The sequence below is a fragment of the Homo sapiens genome, chromosome 4 (genome assembly GCF_000001405.40).
Source record: "Homo sapiens chromosome 4, GRCh38.p14 Primary Assembly".
NCBI classification, from domain to species: Eukaryota; Metazoa; Chordata; class Mammalia; order Primates; family Hominidae; genus Homo; species Homo sapiens.
Window position 1 is genome coordinate 158,292,332 of NC_000004.12, and position 20,705 is coordinate 158,313,036.

Genomic DNA, 20,705 nt, shown 5'->3' on the forward strand with positions numbered 1-20,705 from the left:
CTCTGCTCTGCCCTGCCCCCTGCTTCTGGTTTTGTTAGTGTGTGCCTGACGCAGGGCCTGTCCCAGCTTTGTTCCTGGTGGGGGCTCCCTGGTGTGGAGCTCCAGCTGGGGCCGAAGTGGATGACATGTGTTGCAACTCACTTTAGGGACACCTAGACAGAAGTTGGGGAATCTTTAAAAACAAATCAACTTAATTGTACTTGGCCTACAATTAAAGGTCAAAAATGAACTGAGTTTATTATATATGCATGGTGATTTATTTAAAAATAATTTTAAAATTACAAATGTATTGTTTCTTATATAGTTTTTCTATATATATATATATATCTATATCTATATATAAAAAGACAAACTTTCACACATATGAATAATAACCACAACAAAATTCTGCCAATCATTTAATTCTTTACTTTGAAGAGTTTTTAAAAATAGAGGCAAGTGGCCAGGCATGTGTAAGAGATCAGTCAGGGTGGTAGGAGAAATTATAAGAAAAAGATGCCAACCTTCTTGGAAGGGTGGGAGGTTTTGCAAAAGCTTGGAAAGAGAATTTGGCTGAAGGCAGCTGAATTCTCTCAAGGTAAATAACAAGGAAGTGTAAGGGAATTGATCTAGATAAGTTAGTTTGCGTAGGCCTCAGAACCTGGCCTTTAATCATCATGCACAGGACTGCTCTCTTGCATGGGGTGGGGTGGGGGAGGGAGCAACCATGTTAATTACTCACAAGTTGTGTTAACTCAAAGCCTTTGTCATTAAATCTGTACTAAATAAATGCCCGCAGTGCTGGCTTGTCAGGGCTGTGGCTGCTGTGACTCTTTATGGCACCCTCCTCAGTGTCTGTGAGCAGCCTGGTCCCCTAGCCGCAGGCCCAGGCAAAAAACCTGTGTTTGCCTACATTTTTTAATCTGTCACTCAGCCAGGGTCTGCGGGGCAGACCTGGCAGGTGATGCCCTGCGTGAGGAATGCTGCAGTGGATTGCGACGGAATCCTCGAAAACAAAGGTGAAGAGACTGCGCAGTCAGTAAGTCACTGGTGCCTGCTTGGGATTTCCAAGTTAGAGGGAATTGTTCAGGCTAGGGTTTCATCATGGGACAGCAGTTATCAGCTCAACAGATAAAAGTATTGAAACAGCTGCTTAAAGCTAGTGGAGCCTCGTTTTTGCAGGCTCAATTGAGTGACCCAATGCAAACTGTTGTTTCCCATAATCCATGGGTCCCAGAAGAAGGCATGCTAGACATAGAGCTCTGGGAACAAGTGGGGAGAAATCTTAAACAACATCATGCACAAGGGCAATGGGTCCCAGTAACATCTCTAACGTTATGGGCTTTAGTTAGGGCTGCTTTGGTCCTGCTCTATGTGGAAGAACCTAAAAAGGGAAGGGAGAAAAAAACCATCACCTACCTTACCACCATCTCCTTCTCCCTCAGCCCAGCCATTACTGGGCAAAAATAGCAAAGAGGAAACAAAGGTTTTGCCTGAGCCCTCTTCTCCAATAAATTGGAAAAAAGGCAAGGGATATGCTATAGCTATGGGACCCTGTCTTAGGCAAGTGGCATTAGAAGGGGAGCTCTTAGCCTGCCTGGAAATGCAAGATCATAAGGCAATCAGGTATATGAACCCATTTCTTTTGACACTTATAAAGAGATAAGAAAAAGCATTAGAGAAAATGGAGCCACTAGCCCATTTACAAGAGGGTTAATTGAGGTCATTCTGCAGACCTCTTTCTAATAATGGCCACTGTTATTATCCCTCCCCTAACCCTGACCTGGCTCTTTCAAGATCCAATTTGGGTAGAACAGTAGCCTTTAAAGGGAGAGAAATTACAAGGCCATGAATTAGTTGAGGAGCAATTAAAAGCTGGCCATATAGAACCATCAAACAGCTCTTGGAATTTGCCCATTTTCATCATTCCCAAAAGGTCTGGCAAGTGGAGACTTTTGCATGACTTATGGGCTATCAATGCTAATTTGCAACCTGTGGAGACCCTTCAACAGGGCCTCCCTTCCCCCATGATGATTCCTCAAGATTGGCCTATAGTCATTATTGACTTAAAAGACTGCTTTTATACTATTCCCCTTGCACAGGACAGAGAAAAATTTGCATTTATAATACCAGCTATCAATAATGAAAGGCCAGCTCACCAATTTCATTGGAAAGTGCTTCCTCAAGGAACGCTAAACAGTCCTACCATGTGTCAGTATCACGTAAACCAGGCTTTGCTCCCCAGTAGAAAAGAATTTTCTAATTGCAGGATTATTCATTTGATGGATGATATTTTACTGGCAGCCCCAACAGAGCCAGTACTTTTAAGTTTGTATGCCTCTGTCATAAAGAATATACAGTTAAGAGGTTTAATCATAGCACCTGAAAAAGTACAAATGTCCTCTCCTTGGAAATATCTTGGATACATACTAAGATATTCCCAGTCAGTAAGACCTCAAAAGGTTAAATACTAGCAGCTTACATACCTTAAATTATTATCAAAAATTACTAGGTGATATTAACTGGCTTCATCCCACCTTGGGCATAACTACTGATAAGTTGCAAAATCTGTTTTCTATCCTAAAGGGCAATACAGCCCTAGACTTTCCCAGGTATTTAACTACTGCAGCAAAAAGAGAAATTGAGGAAATAGAGCACGCTATTTCTCAGAGGCAACTAGATCTCACAGACCCAAAATATTCAGTTCAATTGTTTGTTTTTCCTACTAAACATTCCCCAACAGGATTAATAGGATGGAGGCCCCAGGGCTACACTTCCTAGAGTGGGTTATTTGCTCACATACAGGGACTAAAACTCTATCTTCCTATATCCAGCTAGTTAATAAAGTCATCTATTCAGGCCACAGATGATGCAATCAGTTGCTAGGTTATGACCCTGATGTCATCAGAATTCCTTTAAGCAAAAAGCAATTTGAAGCAGTATTGCCCCATCTCTAGATTTTCAGATAGCACTCTCTGATTACACAGGCCATATAGAGCATGCCCTTCCTGCTGATAAACTACTTCAGTTCTTATCTTGTACTCCTGTAGTTGTGCCTACAAAAGAAGTTCACTCTCCCATACCTAACACTTTAACGCTTTTTACTGATGGCTCTGGTAAACATGGAAAAGCGGCTATCTGGTGGAAACCACATAATTCCCTCATTCGTTCTGGATTTACTAGCCCTCAGAGAGCTGAGGTTGAAGCCTTAATATTGGCCCTGGAAATTTTTTCCACTCAGACTATCAACATTGTTAGTGATCCTGCTTACTCTGTTTATTTATTGCAGAACCTTAAACCAGCCCTCATTAAGTCCACTCTTGAGCCCACCCTGTGTGCACTTTTTCTGCTACTTCATCAATTGCTAGATCAATGTACACATCCTATTTTTATAACACACATTTGAGCCCACACCTCACTGCCTGGCCTACTAGTTCATGGTAAGAATCAAGCAGGCCTGCAAATTATGATGTCACTACTTGACCAAGCCACCCAATAGCATCAGTTTTTCCACCAAAGTTGGAGAAACTTAACTAAACAATTTCAACTTACCCAAAGACTAGCTAAACAAATTATCCTGCAATGCTCAGATTGCCAGCTCACAGGCACATCCCCCTCCTTCAACAGGTGTTAACCCTAGAGGACTAGAACCTAATCAGTTATGGCAAACAGATGTTACACACATCCCTGAATTTGGAAAACTAAGATATGTACATGTATCCATTGATACCAATTCTCACCTAGTTAGCACACATGCTTTTCCTGGAGAGTCCACTCAATATGTTATTAAACATCTTCTCTTAACTTTTGCTTTTATGGGGCAGCCCACAAAAATTAAAACTGATAATGATCTGGCTTATGCCAGCTCACAATTTCAACAATTTTGTCACACATGAAACATCCAACATTCCGGAGGCATCCCGTATAGCCCCCAAGGACAGGCCATATTAGAATGTGCCCACTCCACTCTTAAAAATATGCCCAGAAAACAAAAAAGGGGGAATATGAGTAAGGACCCTGCAACACTACTAGCACAAGCACTATTTATCCTTAATTTAAAAAATTTAGATGATACATTTCAATCAGCCATAGAAAAGCACTTTGCTAAAACTTCTCAAGACATAAAACCTGCAGATTTATGGAAAGATGTAAATAGTAATGTATGGTGTGGTCCAAATGATTTGCTAAAATGAGGAAGAGGATATGCTTGTGTTCACACCCCCTCAGGTCCTCTTTGGATTCCAGCACAATGCATCAAACCATACCATGGCGGGGCTAGGACCCAACCCGGTACCCGAAATGAAGGAGTTAACCCTACAAGACCCACAGCCCCGGACAATGTGGCTTCCACAGATGACACAAGCCCCAAACATCACCTGGGGGATGCTGAAGAAGATGACTTAGGAGGCTGAGCAAATCCTGCTCTGGACACAGACACCATTCACTCCAGATAATCTGTTCCTTGCTATGCTTTCTGTTGTACATCGCAACTCTTGTAGGACCTTTTTTATTCTCTCACTTTGCCTGCAACCTGTACCTGCTACACTCTATTAAGCCCATCTTCTAAATCCTCCTTTTTTCTGCCCTGTTACTTAGGCAGATACCCCCTTCCCAGCCTCTAATAACATAACTGTTTGGCTGGGAGGGATAGATTTACCCCCAGTGGGGTCCCTCATTAATGGCACACATTGGACTAAGGTGCCAGGTAACAGTACATATCACTCCACTATCTTCCCACTGTGTGTTAGTTATAAAAGTTCTAACCCTTACTGTGTACCTGCCCAAACACAATTATGGCTACATCATGGCAAAGGAAATGCCTTAACAGTCTTAGTTGCAGGTAGCCTCAAACTGGGCCACGCAATTAATGCCACTTTCCCAAACATTCCTCCCTGTGCTAAAGAACAAAGTCAGGAAAGTAATGGATTCCATTTTAGCTGGGAGGTCTGTCACGGGGACAAGCCCATAGTCCCCAGTTAGGCAATTATAACATCTTAGACTGGAGCCCCCACAGCCATTTGCAGGGCGATTGTACTGATGTCCACGTCTATCATGGCATCAATGACAGTTTCATAGCCACGTCCCATTCCCCTATAATTTGGGCCAATAAGGGAATGGGATATCCCAGACCCCACGTAAGGTCCATGCCACCCCAGTACAATTTATGGCACCTGGGACATCTTGGCACCTCCCTTAACACCTGGCATGGGACATATCATAATCCAGTCACAATAATACTATGACCTTTTTTCATAATCACACTGATCAGTGCCTGATTTACACTACCCATCCATATGTTTTCCTTATGTGAGCCAATATTTCTATTACACCCTAAAACTCCTCGTTTGTGACCCGAGTGCAGGGACAGGCTTGGTTCGCCTCTTGTATCACTAATTATAATATATCTAATTTAAATATTACTAGTGTCATGGTACTGAGGAGACAATCTGAGGTTTTCCTACTAGTCAATTTAACATGCAATTGGCAAGGTTCCTCTGCCCTTGCCACCTTAGAACATGCCCTATCCCAGATCAGACACAAAAGATTCAGTTACACTGATAGCCTTTATAGTCTCAGCCATAGTCATCCTAGCAACTGCTAGTGTTGCTATAGCCATCTATTACTGAATCAGTACAAACAGCTACTTTTGTAGATAACTTGGCCAGTAATGTGTCTAATGAACTTCTCTTACAGCAGGGTATAGATCAAAAGATTCTTGCACATCTGCAAGCCCTCAAGGCTTCCTTGGAATATGTGGGGGAGCGACAAGATGCGTTGGCATTTTGACAGCAATTAAACTGTGACTGGGAGCATAAGCATACCTGTGTCACTTCTCTACCTCGGAATCAATTGACACATAGTTGGGATGAGGTGAAACAACACCTCTGGGGAATCTTACAAGATAATTTAACAGCAGACATAAGGCAACTTAAAACTAGAATTTTGGAATCCCTAAATGCCGTAGATCTACACACCCAACAAACAGCCATATGGAAGGATGTGTGAGAACATCTCTCTTGGATAAAACCCCACTCCTGGTGGGGGTCACTCCTTGATTGGAAAAGAATGTTACTGATTATACTCATGTTTGTCTTATGTTATTTACTAATTCTAGGATGCAAAGCCACAACATGAGCAGTGACTTCTGCGCCAGACAAACCTGTTGCTGCACACATCTGTGCTCTTCAATTAACAAAACCTGATGCAAAAAACAACAACAACAACAAAAAAAAAAAAACAAACAGAAAAGGGGTAGATATAGAAGATCAGTCAGGCTGGTGCGAGAAATTATAAGAAAAAGATGCAAACCTTATTGGAAGGCCAGGAGGTTTTGCAAAAGCTTCAAAAGAGGATTTGGCTGAAGGCAGCTGAATTCTCTCAGGGTAGATAACAAGGAAGTGCAAGGGAATTGATTTAGATAAGTTAGTTTGCTTAGGCCTTGGAACCTGGCCTTTAATCATCCGCACACAGGACTGCTCTCTGGGGAATGGTGGGGTGGTGAGGGAGGGCGTGACCATGTTAATTACCCACAAGTTGTGTTGACTCAAAGCTTTTGTCATTAAATCTGTACTAAATAAATGCCCACAGCACCGGCTTGTCAGGGCTGTGGCTGCTGTGACTCTTTATGGCACCCTCCTCAGTGTCTGTGAGCCGCCTGGTCCCCTAGCCACCGGCCCAGGCAAAAAATCTGTGTCTGCATACATTTGTTCGTCTGTCGCTCCACCAGCGTCTGCAGGTCAGACCCTGCAGGCATGGTGGCTCATGCCTGTAATCCCAGCACTTTGGGAGGCCAAGGCAGGTGGATCATCTGAGGTCAGGAGTTTGAGACCAGCCTGCCCAACATGGTGAAACCCCATCTCTACTAAAAATACAAAAATTTAGCCAGGCGTGGCAATGTGGAACTGTAATCCCAGCTACTTGGGAGGCCGAGGCAGGAGAATCGCTTGAACCTGGAAGGTGGAGGTTTCAGTAAGCCAAGATCGTGCTATTGCACTCCAGCCTGGATGACAAGAGGGAAACTCTGTCTCACAAAACCAAACCAAACCAAACAAAACAAAAAAATACAGGCAAGCTCAGAGAGTACTGTAATAAATATTTCTCTATCCAACATGCAGAATGAACAAAGGTTAATGTGTAACTTTTGTTTCAGATGTTTTCATATAAAGTAGATGTAAGACTTGGTGAAAATAGGGTTATCTTGCAGCTGGACTGAAACAGCACTATGCTTATCTGCAGGGATGCACGGAAGTCTGGTATGACCCTTGGCCAAAGTAGGATTAGGTATACTAGTTAATGATTTATATTATGCTGTTTAAAAACTGAAACTCTTTTGGAAGGACTCTGTACTAACTAGCTTACTTAGTTTAAAAATATATAAATTACTGGTTTGCACCTAGTTTGACCAATTTTACAGCCTGGCTTTAGCTGTGTGGCTCGGAGTATATGAAAGACCTCTCTACATATTTATTTCCTGGGCTCCCCTAAAACTAGGATAGCCTGTGCATATCTTGATGGTTCATTATCTGAAGTTGACATATGCTGTGCAACTGAAAAAGGGCCCTAGGGCTGTGTCTGGTAGTTTTCAGACCTCCCTATGATTGCTTGCACTTTCTTTCTACGTTTGTGTTGAGCCGTATTTTTTACCTTTACCATCTGTTTGTTGTTGCTATATAGAAATGCAATTGCTTTTGGTACATTTATTTTGCATCCAAGAAAATTGACCAGCTCATAATTTCTAAAATAGAGCTACAAATCTTTGGGATTTTCTAACTACACGCACATATCATCAGTACATAATATTTTTTATTTTTAATCCCTGTTTTTTTTTATTGCACTGAATAGAAATTCCAGGAAAATGTTAAACAAAGTGACGTTAGCAGTTACTGTTGTCTTTTTCCTGTTGTTAAAAGGAATGCTTTCGATATGTCACCATTATTTATGGTGTTTACCTTTTAACAGATTAAGGAATTTCACTTTGTACTTGATTTTTGTTTGAGGTTTTGCTGTTCCTTTTTAATCTTAAATACTTCTTGTATTTTATAAATTCTTTTTCTGTATCAGAAATAATGACATGATTTTACTTTTTTATTCTTTTAGTATGGCAAATTACATTAATTTTCTAGTGTTAAACACCTTCTTGGGGAATAAGCTCAATTTGTTGTGCATATGTATATGTACACATACATACACACACATTGATTTATATATATTGCTACATTCAATGTATTAATATTTCTGTTTAATATTTTTGCATTTTAATAGACAATGTGACTTGTGATTTTCCCTCTTCCTAGTGTACTCAGTAATTATCAAGAGAATACTAAAATATATTTCAGGTGCTCCTCATTGCATCTGATGGTTTAGTGCCTATCCTCTGCTATTCTAGAATTCTACCATTTGCGTTGCGAGTCAGGAGCCTAGTTCTTTCTATAACAGCTCCAACCGTTCTCTCTAACAGAGAAAACAGCCATTACTGATGTAACCAATGATCCTCATGTCCCACTTCACAGTAGATTCTTACTGACTTTGTGAGCAGAATGTCCTCTAGGTCTTCCTGAGGAAAATATTAGCATTCCCAATTCTCTGAACCTATCCCTTCCTTCGCAACTGGCCACAACAGCTCTTTGCCTTTTCTTTGATTGCAGGTCATACCTCACAGGCTTCTGGGTGCCAATCTAGAAAGTATTACCACAGCTCATGCCTGAGTGTTAAAAACTGTGTCACATAGAATGCTCCCTATTGACAAACTTTCCTTTGTTTAGCAGAAGCCCTCAAGACAGTGTCATCCAACACAAGGTAACCATATTCTGCACTTCCTTTGTCCTACAATATTTCCTCCTTTGACAGCCCCATCACATCCCTCATCAAGATAAGCTGAGATTTGACTTGCTATGGTTTTGTTGGTCAGTGGTGAATATGAGGGCCGATTGCTTTTTGACAAGCATTGTTTTTGAGACTTCTATTCTGGAACATGAGAGAATTTACCACTCTGCAAAAGATTCAAGGGAAGCTGGATTCAAGGTTCTCAAATGCATCACCTTAGGTCTCAAGTTTCAGGGTTTCACTCCTTCCCTAGCAGTGTCCTCGCTTCAGCATGGGAGACTTACCAACACTGAAAATTCAGCCTCCCTTGAAGCCTCTTCCACTTCTACAATTAAGTCCTGGGCCTAAATCATCAGCTCTGTTGGCCCTCTGGCTGTGGAAGATGAGAGTTTCGTGAAACACTTTCAAAAAGTCCTTTGAATGTCACTCTAAACTTTAAGTTCTTAATATATGTAAGCCTGTCATTTTCTCTTTTCAACAAATCATTTGCGATTAGCAGCAGACATCCAACTCCATAGTCCTTATAGTTATGATTTCCCCAATCTTCTCAAATGCTCAAGAAACTATACTGTCTCATGTATCTTCTTTCATCTGTATCCCATCCCAGCTCACCACAGGGGAAAGTCTTAGCAATCTTACTGGTCCAACATGCTAGTCACTATTAATATTCCACCTACCACCAGTAACTGGATCTTTTTTGTAATCCAGCTGAGAAGAGTCAAATCCTACCCTAATGGTCTGTTTCATAGGCCCACTCCTGGCACACAACTATCCAAGATGTGGTTCCCTAGAAGCAGAGCCTGAGAAAAGGATTCTTGTTCAAAATTTATTCAGGGAGTGGAGAAGGAGAGGAAAGAACGAGCTTAGGGGAGGGAAACACAAATGAAGTGAAAATAAAGTTTCAGATGGAGACTGTTTTCAACCTGATCTTACAAGTGAGCTCTAAGCACAAGTCACCCCCACAGAGTTGGTTACCCTTGAGATAAGAAGACTGGCTTTTTATACCCTCTTGTCATTCAGACATTGGCTGAGGGCTGTCCCTGGAGGATGGTGCATAACTTTCCAGGTGATCTGCATACCATCATCTCAGGGCATTTCTTCAGAGAGGAAGAGCAGTTATGAGCTGTTAGTAGCTAATAGCCCCTGGGGCATGGGCGTACTGGCCAAATGAAAGGAATCTGGGCAAGGCATTGCAGCATATTTTATGGCCACACTTCAGAACTGGGTTACAAAAAGTGGCTACCTCTTCTATAATCAGGAAGTCACTTGTTTCAGAACCACCCTTTCACAGCTATAATTTGTCACTACAATAAGCAAAGGACCATACACAAGGAACCAGCATAATCAGAAAATCACTGTAATTCTGCTATCAGTGTCTCAAGATCTAAGCCAAATTGTTCCAATCTACATTAAAAAAAAAAATAGATGCTCTCCACCCTGCCTTTCAATATGCATGAAAAAGTAGCACATGGTCCCTGAGGCCTCTGCCAAAATTCCAGAAAGAGGAAGAATGTTCTACAACTTTGCTTGCCAAAAGGAGCAAAACCAGCATATCCTGATCCTGCATGAGCACATCTGATTGTTTCTGAATCATGCTGGAATTTCACTTCAAGGAGCCTGGGAACCGTGCTTTAATGCTCCTATACAGTTCTCATTCAAGAAGTCACACCAGAAGGAGAGAGAAATGGATGGTCAGCCCCAGTCCACCAAATACATCTCCATCCACTCTTTTGTTATTCAGCATCTCTCAATATTAAAACTTGCAAACAAAGATATTAGCACCAACAAGAGGCTAACACCTAAATTAATGTGACTTATGCCTCTGAAACATATCCTCTTAGTCTTCATATGACCAAAAATATCTTAATTTTACCTTAATTCTCAGGTTATAGTTTAGCTGCATAGAATTATAGGTTGATAGTGATTTTGCTTCAGAACATAGAAACTACGGTTTCACTGTTTTGAAATATTCAGTATAGCTACTGAGAAATCAGCTGCCAGTCTAACTTTCATGCCTGTATAGGTTTTCTGTTTTTTTCTGTCTGGTTTAAACTAAGTTTTGTTTTGATTTGTTTGTTTGTTTGTTTGATATTCTGCAATGTTGCTTTGGGTTTTCTAGGTATAATTCATTTTTGCTTTTCCCATTAGATCTTAATATACTCCTTCAACTTGAGACCCATCTTCAGTTCTGGGATGGTCTGAGCCATTATCTCTGTTAGCACCTCCCTTGACCTAATTCTCTTTTTTTTCTTTTTCCCTGGAATTTTATCAGCATTTATCAATGGAATTCTTTTATTTTATTCTCTATGGATGTTTCATATTTTTCATCTCTGATTTATTTCTTGGTGTTTTTCTCTTTAATTTTCCAATTCAGTAATTATTCTTCATTGATTTCTTCTGATCAATCTTTTAGTCGCATTGTTAAAACTTCAGTTTCTGTAAATTTTACTATTCTTAAAGTTTCCTCTTTAGTTTGTTTTCAGACTTACCTATTCTTTTATATGTTGCCTAGTTGTTACCCCTATGGTCTGCCAGATATTTTTGTGCCTGCAACATTTGTGCAAACTCTTCCATTTATTGCTTTACCTGACTCGTTCAAGTCATGTGTTCCTTCAAGTTGTTTACCTGCAGACATAGTGCCCACTACTAATCCTTATTGCCTTGTCAGGCCCTTACATCCCATGTTATTCATTGCCCTGAGTTTTAATTTCCTCTCCATTTATTTGTCCAATGATTCTCCTTTTTGGGGGAGTTCAAGTATATATTTCAGGGTTTTTTGCTTTTTTTGTTATATTTTCTTTCTAAATTTATATGTTGAAATTGAGAAGGATTTCTCACATCTTCTCAGTCTGTCATAGCAACAAAAAGTATTCTGACATTGATTTGTTTTCCATACACTAAAGAAGAAACAAAAAGCAGTTTCAGCATCTCTCTGGTAATTTAATGAAATGAAATTATTTGCAATAAGGCACTGTTTAAGATGACCTTACCTTGTCACTTTGCAGGGAGGAGATGGATGCTACCCGGAGAAGATGGAGAGAGAATCCATTACACCTCACTTCCCATTAATATGCCCTCAGTTGTTACTGGTACAATCAAACTTGCAAGAGGAGGTTAAAATATATCTGTCAATGTCAAACATATTTGCAGTTAGAATGCAGATATGCTATTTTGGTATATAAAATAATTTCTTTTTATTATATAACCAAGGTCTTTGGTAAATAAAAAGCTAATGCAAATAAGCCCAGTTGCTGAAATATATATCTCTAATAACTTGAAAATATATTTCTCATGGAGAATTGCTTCAGCATCTTTTCATGTTTCGGCACTTTATCTCATCCTCCTCTCCATCCTCCTCAGTCAACACAAAAGTGGCCCCATGCAAAGTTGCTTCATCGCCACAGAACCTTGTCTTCTCAGTCTCACAATGGCAGCTGATCAAGACAAAGCAGGCAACCACAGAATGTGATGAGTGAAGGTGCCAATTGCAGGGCCACTGGGTGCTTAATGGGACTCCACTGAGATTCTCCCCTGGCATTACGTTGTCTGAAGCTGAGAAGTATGGCCATCACAGATGGGCAGAGAACCCTCTAAGGTATAGAAACCCAAGGAAGGGGGCCAGTGAAAGGTTTTCTTCCACATGATATCAAGTGGTCATTATTATTTTCCCCTTCAAAAAAGAGAAAGAGTAAATAAGTTAGACCATCATGGTCCTAAGAGTTCCTTCTACCAGTTAGTCGTATGTGTGCAGCAAGTTAATACAGTACTAAGGTTTTGAATTACAGAGGGTTTCCCTTCTCATTTTCTATTCTGATGAAGTGTTATTTATTCTTTGTAACAGTCAACTATCTCTTTTCTAATATTCTAAAACTGCCATACTAGGATGAAATAAAGCTATTAGCACATACAAGGAACAGAAGATTACTGTTCCAAAATTATTTTCTTTGTATTGACACCAACCAGTTACAGACCTACTGTGGATCTGCTGACAGTCAATAAAAATATTAACAAATATGGTTTAGCACTCTTTATAAAATACTAAATTAAGAAAACCACCAACACAAATGCCTTGGAAAGTAAAATGACAGTGTTTTTGTTTTGCTTAATATTAACCATTACCTAAAGAATTAAGTAATCTTTTTAAAAAATTTCAATTTTTATTTTAGATACAAGGAGCACATGTGCAGGTTTATTACATGGATATATTGTATAATGCCAGGGTTTGGGGTACAGATTCTGTCACCCAGGTAGTGAGCATAGTACCCAATAGGTAGTTTCTCAACCCACTCTCCCCTCCCTCCTTCCTGCCTCTAGTAGTCTGCAGTGTCCATTGTTCCATTGTTGCATTGAGCACATGCCTATGTGTGCTCAGTGTTTGGCTCACTTGGAAGTGAGAATATGTGGTATTCGCTTTTCTGTTCCTGCATTAGTTTGCTCAGGATAATGACCTCCAGCTGCATCTATATTGCTGCAAAGGGTACGATTTTGTTATTTTTTTGTTGTTCTTTTTTTTTTTTTTTTTTTTTTTTGAGACAGAGTCTCGCTCTGTCACCCAGGCTGGAGTGCAGTGGCATGATTTTGGCTCACTGCAAGCTCCGCCTCCCAGGTTCATGCCATTCTCCTGCCTCAGCCTCCTGAATAGCTGGGACTACAGGCACCCACCACCACACGTGGCTAATTTTTTTCATATTTTTAGTAGAGACAGGGTTTCACTGTGTTAGCCAGGATGGTCTCTATCTCCTGACCTCGTGATCTGCCCTCCTCGGCCTCCCAAAGTGCTGGGATTACAGGCGTGAGCCACCTGTGCCCAGCCAATTTTGTTCTTTTTTATGGCTGTGTAGTATTCCCCAGTATATATGTGCCACATTATCTTTATCCAGTCTACCCATTGATGTGCACCTAAGTTGATTCCATATCTTTGCTATTGTGAATAGTACAACATATGAGTGATTGTGTCCTTTTGGTAGAATGATTTATTTTCCTTTGAGTATATAACCAGTAATAGGATCACTGGGTCAAATTGTAGCTCTGTTTTAAGTTCTTTGGAAATCTCCAGATTGCTTTCTGCAGTGGCTGCACTAATTTACACTCCTACCAACAGTGTGTAAGCATTCTCTTTTCTCTGCAGCCTCACCAAATATGATTTTTTTCTTCTTTTTTACTTTTTAATAATAGCCATTCTGACTGGTATGAGATGGCATCTCATTGTGTTTTTGATTTGCATTTCTGTGATAATTAGTGATGTGAAGCATTTTTTCATATGTTGGTGGGCCATTTGTATGCCTTCTTTTGAAAAGTGTCTGTTATGTTCCTTGTCCATTTTTTTTTATTATACTTTAAGTTCTGGAATACATGTGCAGAATGTGCAGGTTTGTTACATAGGTATACATGGGCCATGGTGGTTTGCTGCACCTATCAACCCATCATCTACATTAGATATTTCTCCTAATGCTATGCCTCCCCTAGACTCCCACCCAATGACAGGCCCCAGTGTGTGATGTACCCCTCCCTGTGTCCATGTGTTCTCATTGTTCAACTCCCATTTATGAGTGAGAACATGTGGTGTTTGGTCTTCTGTTCTTGTGTTAGTTTGCTAAGAATGACGGTTTCCAGCTTCATCCAAGTCCCTGCAAAGGACATGAACTCATCCTTTTTTATTGTTGCATAGTATTCTATGGTGTATATGTGACACATTTTCTTTATCCAGTCTATGATTGATGGGCATTTGGGTTAGTTCCAAGTCTTTACTATTGTGAATAGTGCTGCAATAAACATACTTGTGCATGTGGCTTTATAAAATGATTTATAATCCTTTGGGTATATGCCCAGTAATGGGATCACTGGGTCAAATGGTATTTCTGGTTCTAGATACTTGAGGAATTGCCACACTGTCTTCCATAATGGTTGAACTAATTTATACTCCCACCAACAGTGTAAAAGTGGTCCTATTTCTCCACATCCTCTCCAGCATCTGTTGTTTCCTGACTTTTAGTGATCACCATTCTAACTGACATGAGATGGTATCTCATTGTGGTTTTGATTTGCATTTCTCTGATGACCAGTGATGATGAGCTTTTTTTCATATGTTTGTTGGCCACATAAATGTCTTTTTTTGAGAAGTATCTGTTCATATCCTTAGCCCAGTTTTTGATGGGGTTGTTTTTTTCCTTGTAAACCTGTTTATGTTCTTTGCAGATGCTGGATATCAGCCCTTTGTCACATGGATAGATTGTAAAAATTTTCTCTCATTCTGTAGGTTGCCTATTCACTCTGATGATAGTTTCTTTGCTGTGCAGAAGCTCTTTAGTTTAATTAGATCCCATTTGTAAATTTTGGCTTTTGTTGCCATTGCTTTTGGTGTTTTAGTCATGAAGACTCTGTCCATGCCTATGTCCTGAATGGTATTGCCTAGGTTTTCCTCTAGGGTTTTTGTGGTATTAGGTCTTACGTTTATGTCTTTAATCCATCTTGAATTAATTTGCATATAAGGTGTAAGGAAGGGGTCCAGTTTCAGTTTTCTGCATATGGCTAACCAGTTTTCCCAGCACCATTTATTAAATAGGGAATCCTTTCCCCATTGCTTGTTTTTGTCAGGTTTGTCAAAGATCATAATTCATCACATAAACAGAACCGATGATGAAAACCACGATTATCTCAATAGATGCAGAAAAGGCCTTTGATAAAATTCAACAGTCCTTCATGCTAAAAACTCTCAATAAACTAGGTATTGATGGAACGTATCTCAGAATAATAACAGCTATTTATGACAGACCCACAGCCAATATCATACTGATTGGGCAAACCTGGAAGCATTCCCTTTGAAAACTAGCACAAGACAAGGATGCCCTCTCTCACCACTCCTATTCAACATAGTATTGGAAGTTCTGGCCCCAGCAATCAGGCAAAAGAAAGAAATAAAGCGTATTCGAATAGGAAGAGAGGAAGTCAAATTGCCTCTGTTTGTAGATGACATGATTGTATATTTAGAAAACCCCATCATCTCAGCCCAAAATCTCCTTAAGCTGATAAGCAACTTCAGCAAAGTCTCAGGATACAAAATCAATGTGCAAAAATCACAAGCATTCCTATACACAAATAATAGACAAACAGAGAGCCAAATCATGAGCAAACTCCCATTCACAATTGCTACAAAGAGGATAAAATACCTAGGAATACAACTTACAAGGGATATGAAGGATGTCTTTGAGGAGAACTACAAACCACTGCTCAAGGAAATAAGAGAAGACATAAACAAATGGAAAAACATTCCATGCTCATGGATAGGAAGAATCAATATCATGAAAATGGCCATACTGCCCAAAGTCATTTATAGATTCAATGCTATCCCCATCAAGCTACCATTGACTTTCTTCACAGAATTAGAAAAAAAAACCTTACATTTTACATGAAACCAAAAAAGAGCTCGTATAGCCAAGACAATACTAAGCAAAAAGAACAAAGCTGGAAGCATCATGCTATCTGACTTCAAACTATACTACAAGGCTATAATAACCAAAACAGCATGGTACTGGTACCAAAACAGATAAATAGACCAATGGAACAGAACAGAGGCCTCAGAAATAACGCCATACATCTTTGCCCATTTTTAATGAGGTTATTTTTTGCTTATTGATTTAAGTTCCCTATAGTTTCTGGATATTAGGCCTTTGTTGCATGCATAGTTTGCCAATAACTTCTCCCATGTTATTTTGTTTATTCTGTTGATCATTTATTTTGCTGTGCAGAAGCTGTTTAGTTTGATTAGGTCCTATTTGTCTATTTCTGATTTTGTTACAATTGCTTTTGGGGACTTAGACAAAAATTATTTGCCAAGACCAATGTCAGAAAGAGTATTTTCTAATTTGTCTTCTAGAATTTTTTTTTCCTTTTTTTGTTTGACACTTCAAGTCTGAGTTTTCTAGGATTTTTATAGTTTGAAGTCTTACATTTAAATCTTTGATCCATTTTGAGGTAATTTTTGTATATGCTGAAAAGTAGGGGTCCATTGTCAATCTTCTGCCTATAGCTAGCCAGTTATCCTAGCACCATTTATTCAGTAGGGAGTCCTTTCGTCATTACTTGTTTTTGTTGGCTTTGTCAAAGGTCATATGGTTATAGGGTGTGCAGCTTTATTTCTGAGTTTTCTATTCTGTTCCATTGGTCTATGTGTCTGTTTTTGTACTAGTATCATGCTGTTTTGGTTAATGTAGACTTATAGTATAGTTTGAAGTTGGGTAGTATGATACCTCCAGCTTTGTTCTTTTTGCCTGGGATTGCTTTGGGCTCTTTTTTGGTTCCATATGAATTTTAGAATAGTTGTTCCTAATTCTGTGAAGAATGGCATTGGTAGTTTGATAGGAATAGCATTAAATCTGTAATAGCATTAAATAATACTGCTTTGGGCAGTATGGCCATTTTAAAAATATTGATTTGTCCAATCCATGAGCACAGAAAGTTTTTCCATTTATTTGTGTTGTCTATGATTTCTTTCAGCATGTTTTGTAGTTCTCCTTGTTGAGACCTTTCACCTCATTGGTTAGCTGTATTCTTAGGTATTCCATTTTCTTTGTGATTATTGTAAGTAGGATTGTGTTCTTGATTTCACCCACAGCCTGGACATTGTTGTTGTATAGAAATGCTACTGATTTTTGTACATTAATTTTGTACCCTGAAATCTTACTAAAATCATTTATCAGTTTTAGGAGACTTTTGGCTGAGTCTTGAGGATTTTCTAGGTATTTTTTTTTTTAGGATTTTCTAGGTATTTCCTAGGTATTTTTCTAGGTATTCTAGGTATAGGATTTTCATGTCATCACCACAAAAGAGGTAGTTTGACTTCTTCTTTTCCTATTTGGATGCCATTTATTTCTCTTGCCCTATTGCTCTGGCTAGGACTTCCAATACTCTGTTGAATAGAAGTTGTCAGAGTGGGCATTCTTGTCTTGTTCCAGTTCTCAAGTGGAATCGTTGGAGCTTTTGCCCATTCAGTATGATATTGGCTATGGGTTTGTCTCTTAGATGTTTGGCTCTTATTATTTTGAGGTATGTTCTTTCAATGTCTTTTCCGTTACTGGTTTGTTTTTTTTTTTTACATTAGGAATCAATGTTGCATTTTAGCAAAAGCTTTTTCTGCATCTATTGAGATGATCATAAGGTTTTTGCTTTTAATTATGTTTATGTAGTGAATCACATTTATTGAATCATGTATGTTGAACTAGCCTTGCATCCCATCAGTAAAGCCTACTTGAACATGACATATTAACTTTTTGGTGTGCTGCTAAATTTGGTTTCCTACTATTTTGTTGAGGACTTTTGCATCTATGTTCATATGTTCATCAATAATATACGCTGTAGTTTTGTTTTGTTTTGTTTTGTTTTGTTTTGTTTTTGGTTGGATCTCTGCCTGGTTTTGGTGTCAGGATAATACTAGCCTCACAGAATGAGTTGGGAAGGAGTCCTCAACCTCAATTTTTTGGAATAGTTTTAGCAAGATTGGTATAAGTTTTTCTTTGTACTTTTAGTAGAATTTGGCTGTGAATCCATCTGGTGCAGGGGTTTTTTTGGTTGGTAGATTCTTTATTACCAGTTCAGTTTCAGAAGTTGATGATGGTCTATTTAGGGTTTCAATCTCTTCCTGATTCAATCTTGGGAGATTGCGTGCTTCTAGGAATTTGTCCATTTCCTCCAGATATTCTAATTTGTGTGCATATTATTGTTCATAGTAGTCTCTGAGGACCTTTTGTATTTCTGTGAGATCAGTTGTAATACTGCTTTTGTCATTTCTGATTGTGTTTATTTGTATCTTCTCTGTTTTCTTTGTTAATCTAGCTAGGAGTTTATCAATCTTAATTTTTTTTTTTTTTTTTTTTTGGAGAACCAACTCTTGGTTTCATTAATCTTTTGTATGAATTTTGGCATCTCAATTTCATTAAGCTCTTCTCTAATTATAGCTATTTCTTTTCTTCTGCTAGTTTTGGGGTTAGTTTGTTCTCTTTTTTCTACCTCTTTTAGGTGCAAATTTAGATTGCTAATTTGATATCTTTCTAACTTCTTGATGAAGGCATTTAGTGTTATAAACTTTCCTTGTAGCACTGCTTTGGCTGCATCCCAGACATTTTGGTAAGTTGCATTCCCATTTTCATTAATCTCAAATAATTTTTTTTATTTCTGCCTTAAATTTGATGTTCACCCAGGAATTATTCAGGAGTAAATTAATTTCCATGTATTTTTGTAGTTTTGAGGGATCTTGATATTGATTTCCATTTTTATTGCACTGTGATCCAAGAATGTGCTTGGTACAATTTTGAATTTTCTGAATGTATTGAGACTTGCTTTATGACCAAGCATGTGGTTGATCTTAGAATATTTTCCATGTGCAGATGAGAATAATATATATTCTGTGGTGGTTGGGTGGAGTGTTCTGCAAATGTCTGTTAGATCCAATTGATCAAGTGTCAAGTTTAAGTACAGTGTTTGTTAGTTCTCTGCCTCAGTGATCTGTCTAATGCGGTCAGTGGGGTGTTAAAGTCTCCCACTATTATTGTGTGGTTTTTCTAAGTCTTTTTGTATGCCAGGAAAAACTTGTTTTATCAATTTGGGTGCTTTAATGTTGGGTGTGTACATATTTCAGTTAATTAAGGCTTCTTGTTGGATTGTAGCCTTTATCATTATGTAATACCCTTCATTGTCCTTCTTAATTTTTATTGGCTTAAAGTCTGTTTTGTCTGATACAAGGGTAGTAACTCTTGCTCTTTTTTGTTTTCCATTTGCATGGTAGATTTTTTTTCCATCCTTTAAATTTGAGCCTGTGGGTGTTATTACATGTGAAATGGGTTTCTTGAAGATAACAGATCATTGGATCTTGTCTTTTTATCCAACTTGCCACTCTGTGTCTTTTAAGTGGGGAGTTTAGCCCATTTACATTCTAGATTAATACTGGTGAGTGATTTTGATACTATCATCATCTGGTTGTTATATAGACTTGATTGCGTAGTTACTTTATAGTGCCTGTGAGCTATGTGCTTAAATGTGTTTTCTGGGGTAGCAGGTGTTATTCTTTCAATTCCATGTTTAGCACTCCCTTAAGGATGTCTTGTAAGGCTGGTCTAGCTGAAAAATATTCCATCAGCATTTGCTTGTCTCAGAAGGATTTTATATCTCCTTCACTTATGAAGCTTAGTTTGGTGGGATATGAAATTCTTGGTTGGAATTTCTTTTCTTTAATAATGCTGAAACCCCCAATCTCTTCTGGCTTGTAAAGTTTCTGCTGATAGGTCTGCTGCTAAACTGATGGGGTTCCTTCTGTAAGTCCTGCCCCTTTTCCCTAGCTGATTTTAAGGCTTTTTTGTTTTGTTTTGTTTTTTGATATTGACTTTGCTGAATCTGATGATTATGTGCCTTGAGAATAGTCATCTCATATAGAATCTAACTGAGGTTCTTTGTATTTTCTGGATGTTAATTTCAACCTCTCTGGTGAGATTAGGGAACTTTTTGTAGACTATTTCCTCAAATATATTCTCTAAGTTGTTTATTCTGTCTCAGTAATGCCAATGAGTCATGGGTTTGGTCTCTTTACATAATCCCATATTTCTGAGGTTTTTTTCATTTTTCTTAATTATTTTATCCTAATTTTTGTCTAAATTTATTAGAAGAACCAGTCTTCAAACTCTGAGATTATTTTCTGAGATTGGTCTATTTTGCTGTTAATATTTCTGATTGTACTAAAAAAATTCTTGCAGTGAATTTTTCAGCTCAAGTTTAGTTTGGGTCGTTCTTAAAATGGCTGTGCTGTCTTTCAGCTCTTGAATTATTTTATTGGATTGCTTGGCTTCCTTGGATTGAGTTTCAACTTTTTCCTGGATCTTAATGAGCTTCCCTGTTACCCAGATTCTGAATTCCATGTC

General features: G+C 38.8%; 1 annotated feature.

The window, feature by feature from the left end:
* Nucleotides 10,226–10,520: a silencer, noted in NCBI's record as "tiled region #15052; HepG2 Repressive non-DNase unmatched - State 24:Quies, and K562 Repressive non-DNase unmatched - State 24:Quies". NCBI's record gives its function as "represses a minimal TATA promoter and a strong SV40 promoter by Sharpr-MPRA in HepG2 and K562 cells {active_cell/tissue: HepG2 | K562}" and the evidence as "EXISTENCE:reporter gene assay evidence [ECO:0000049][PMID:27701403]".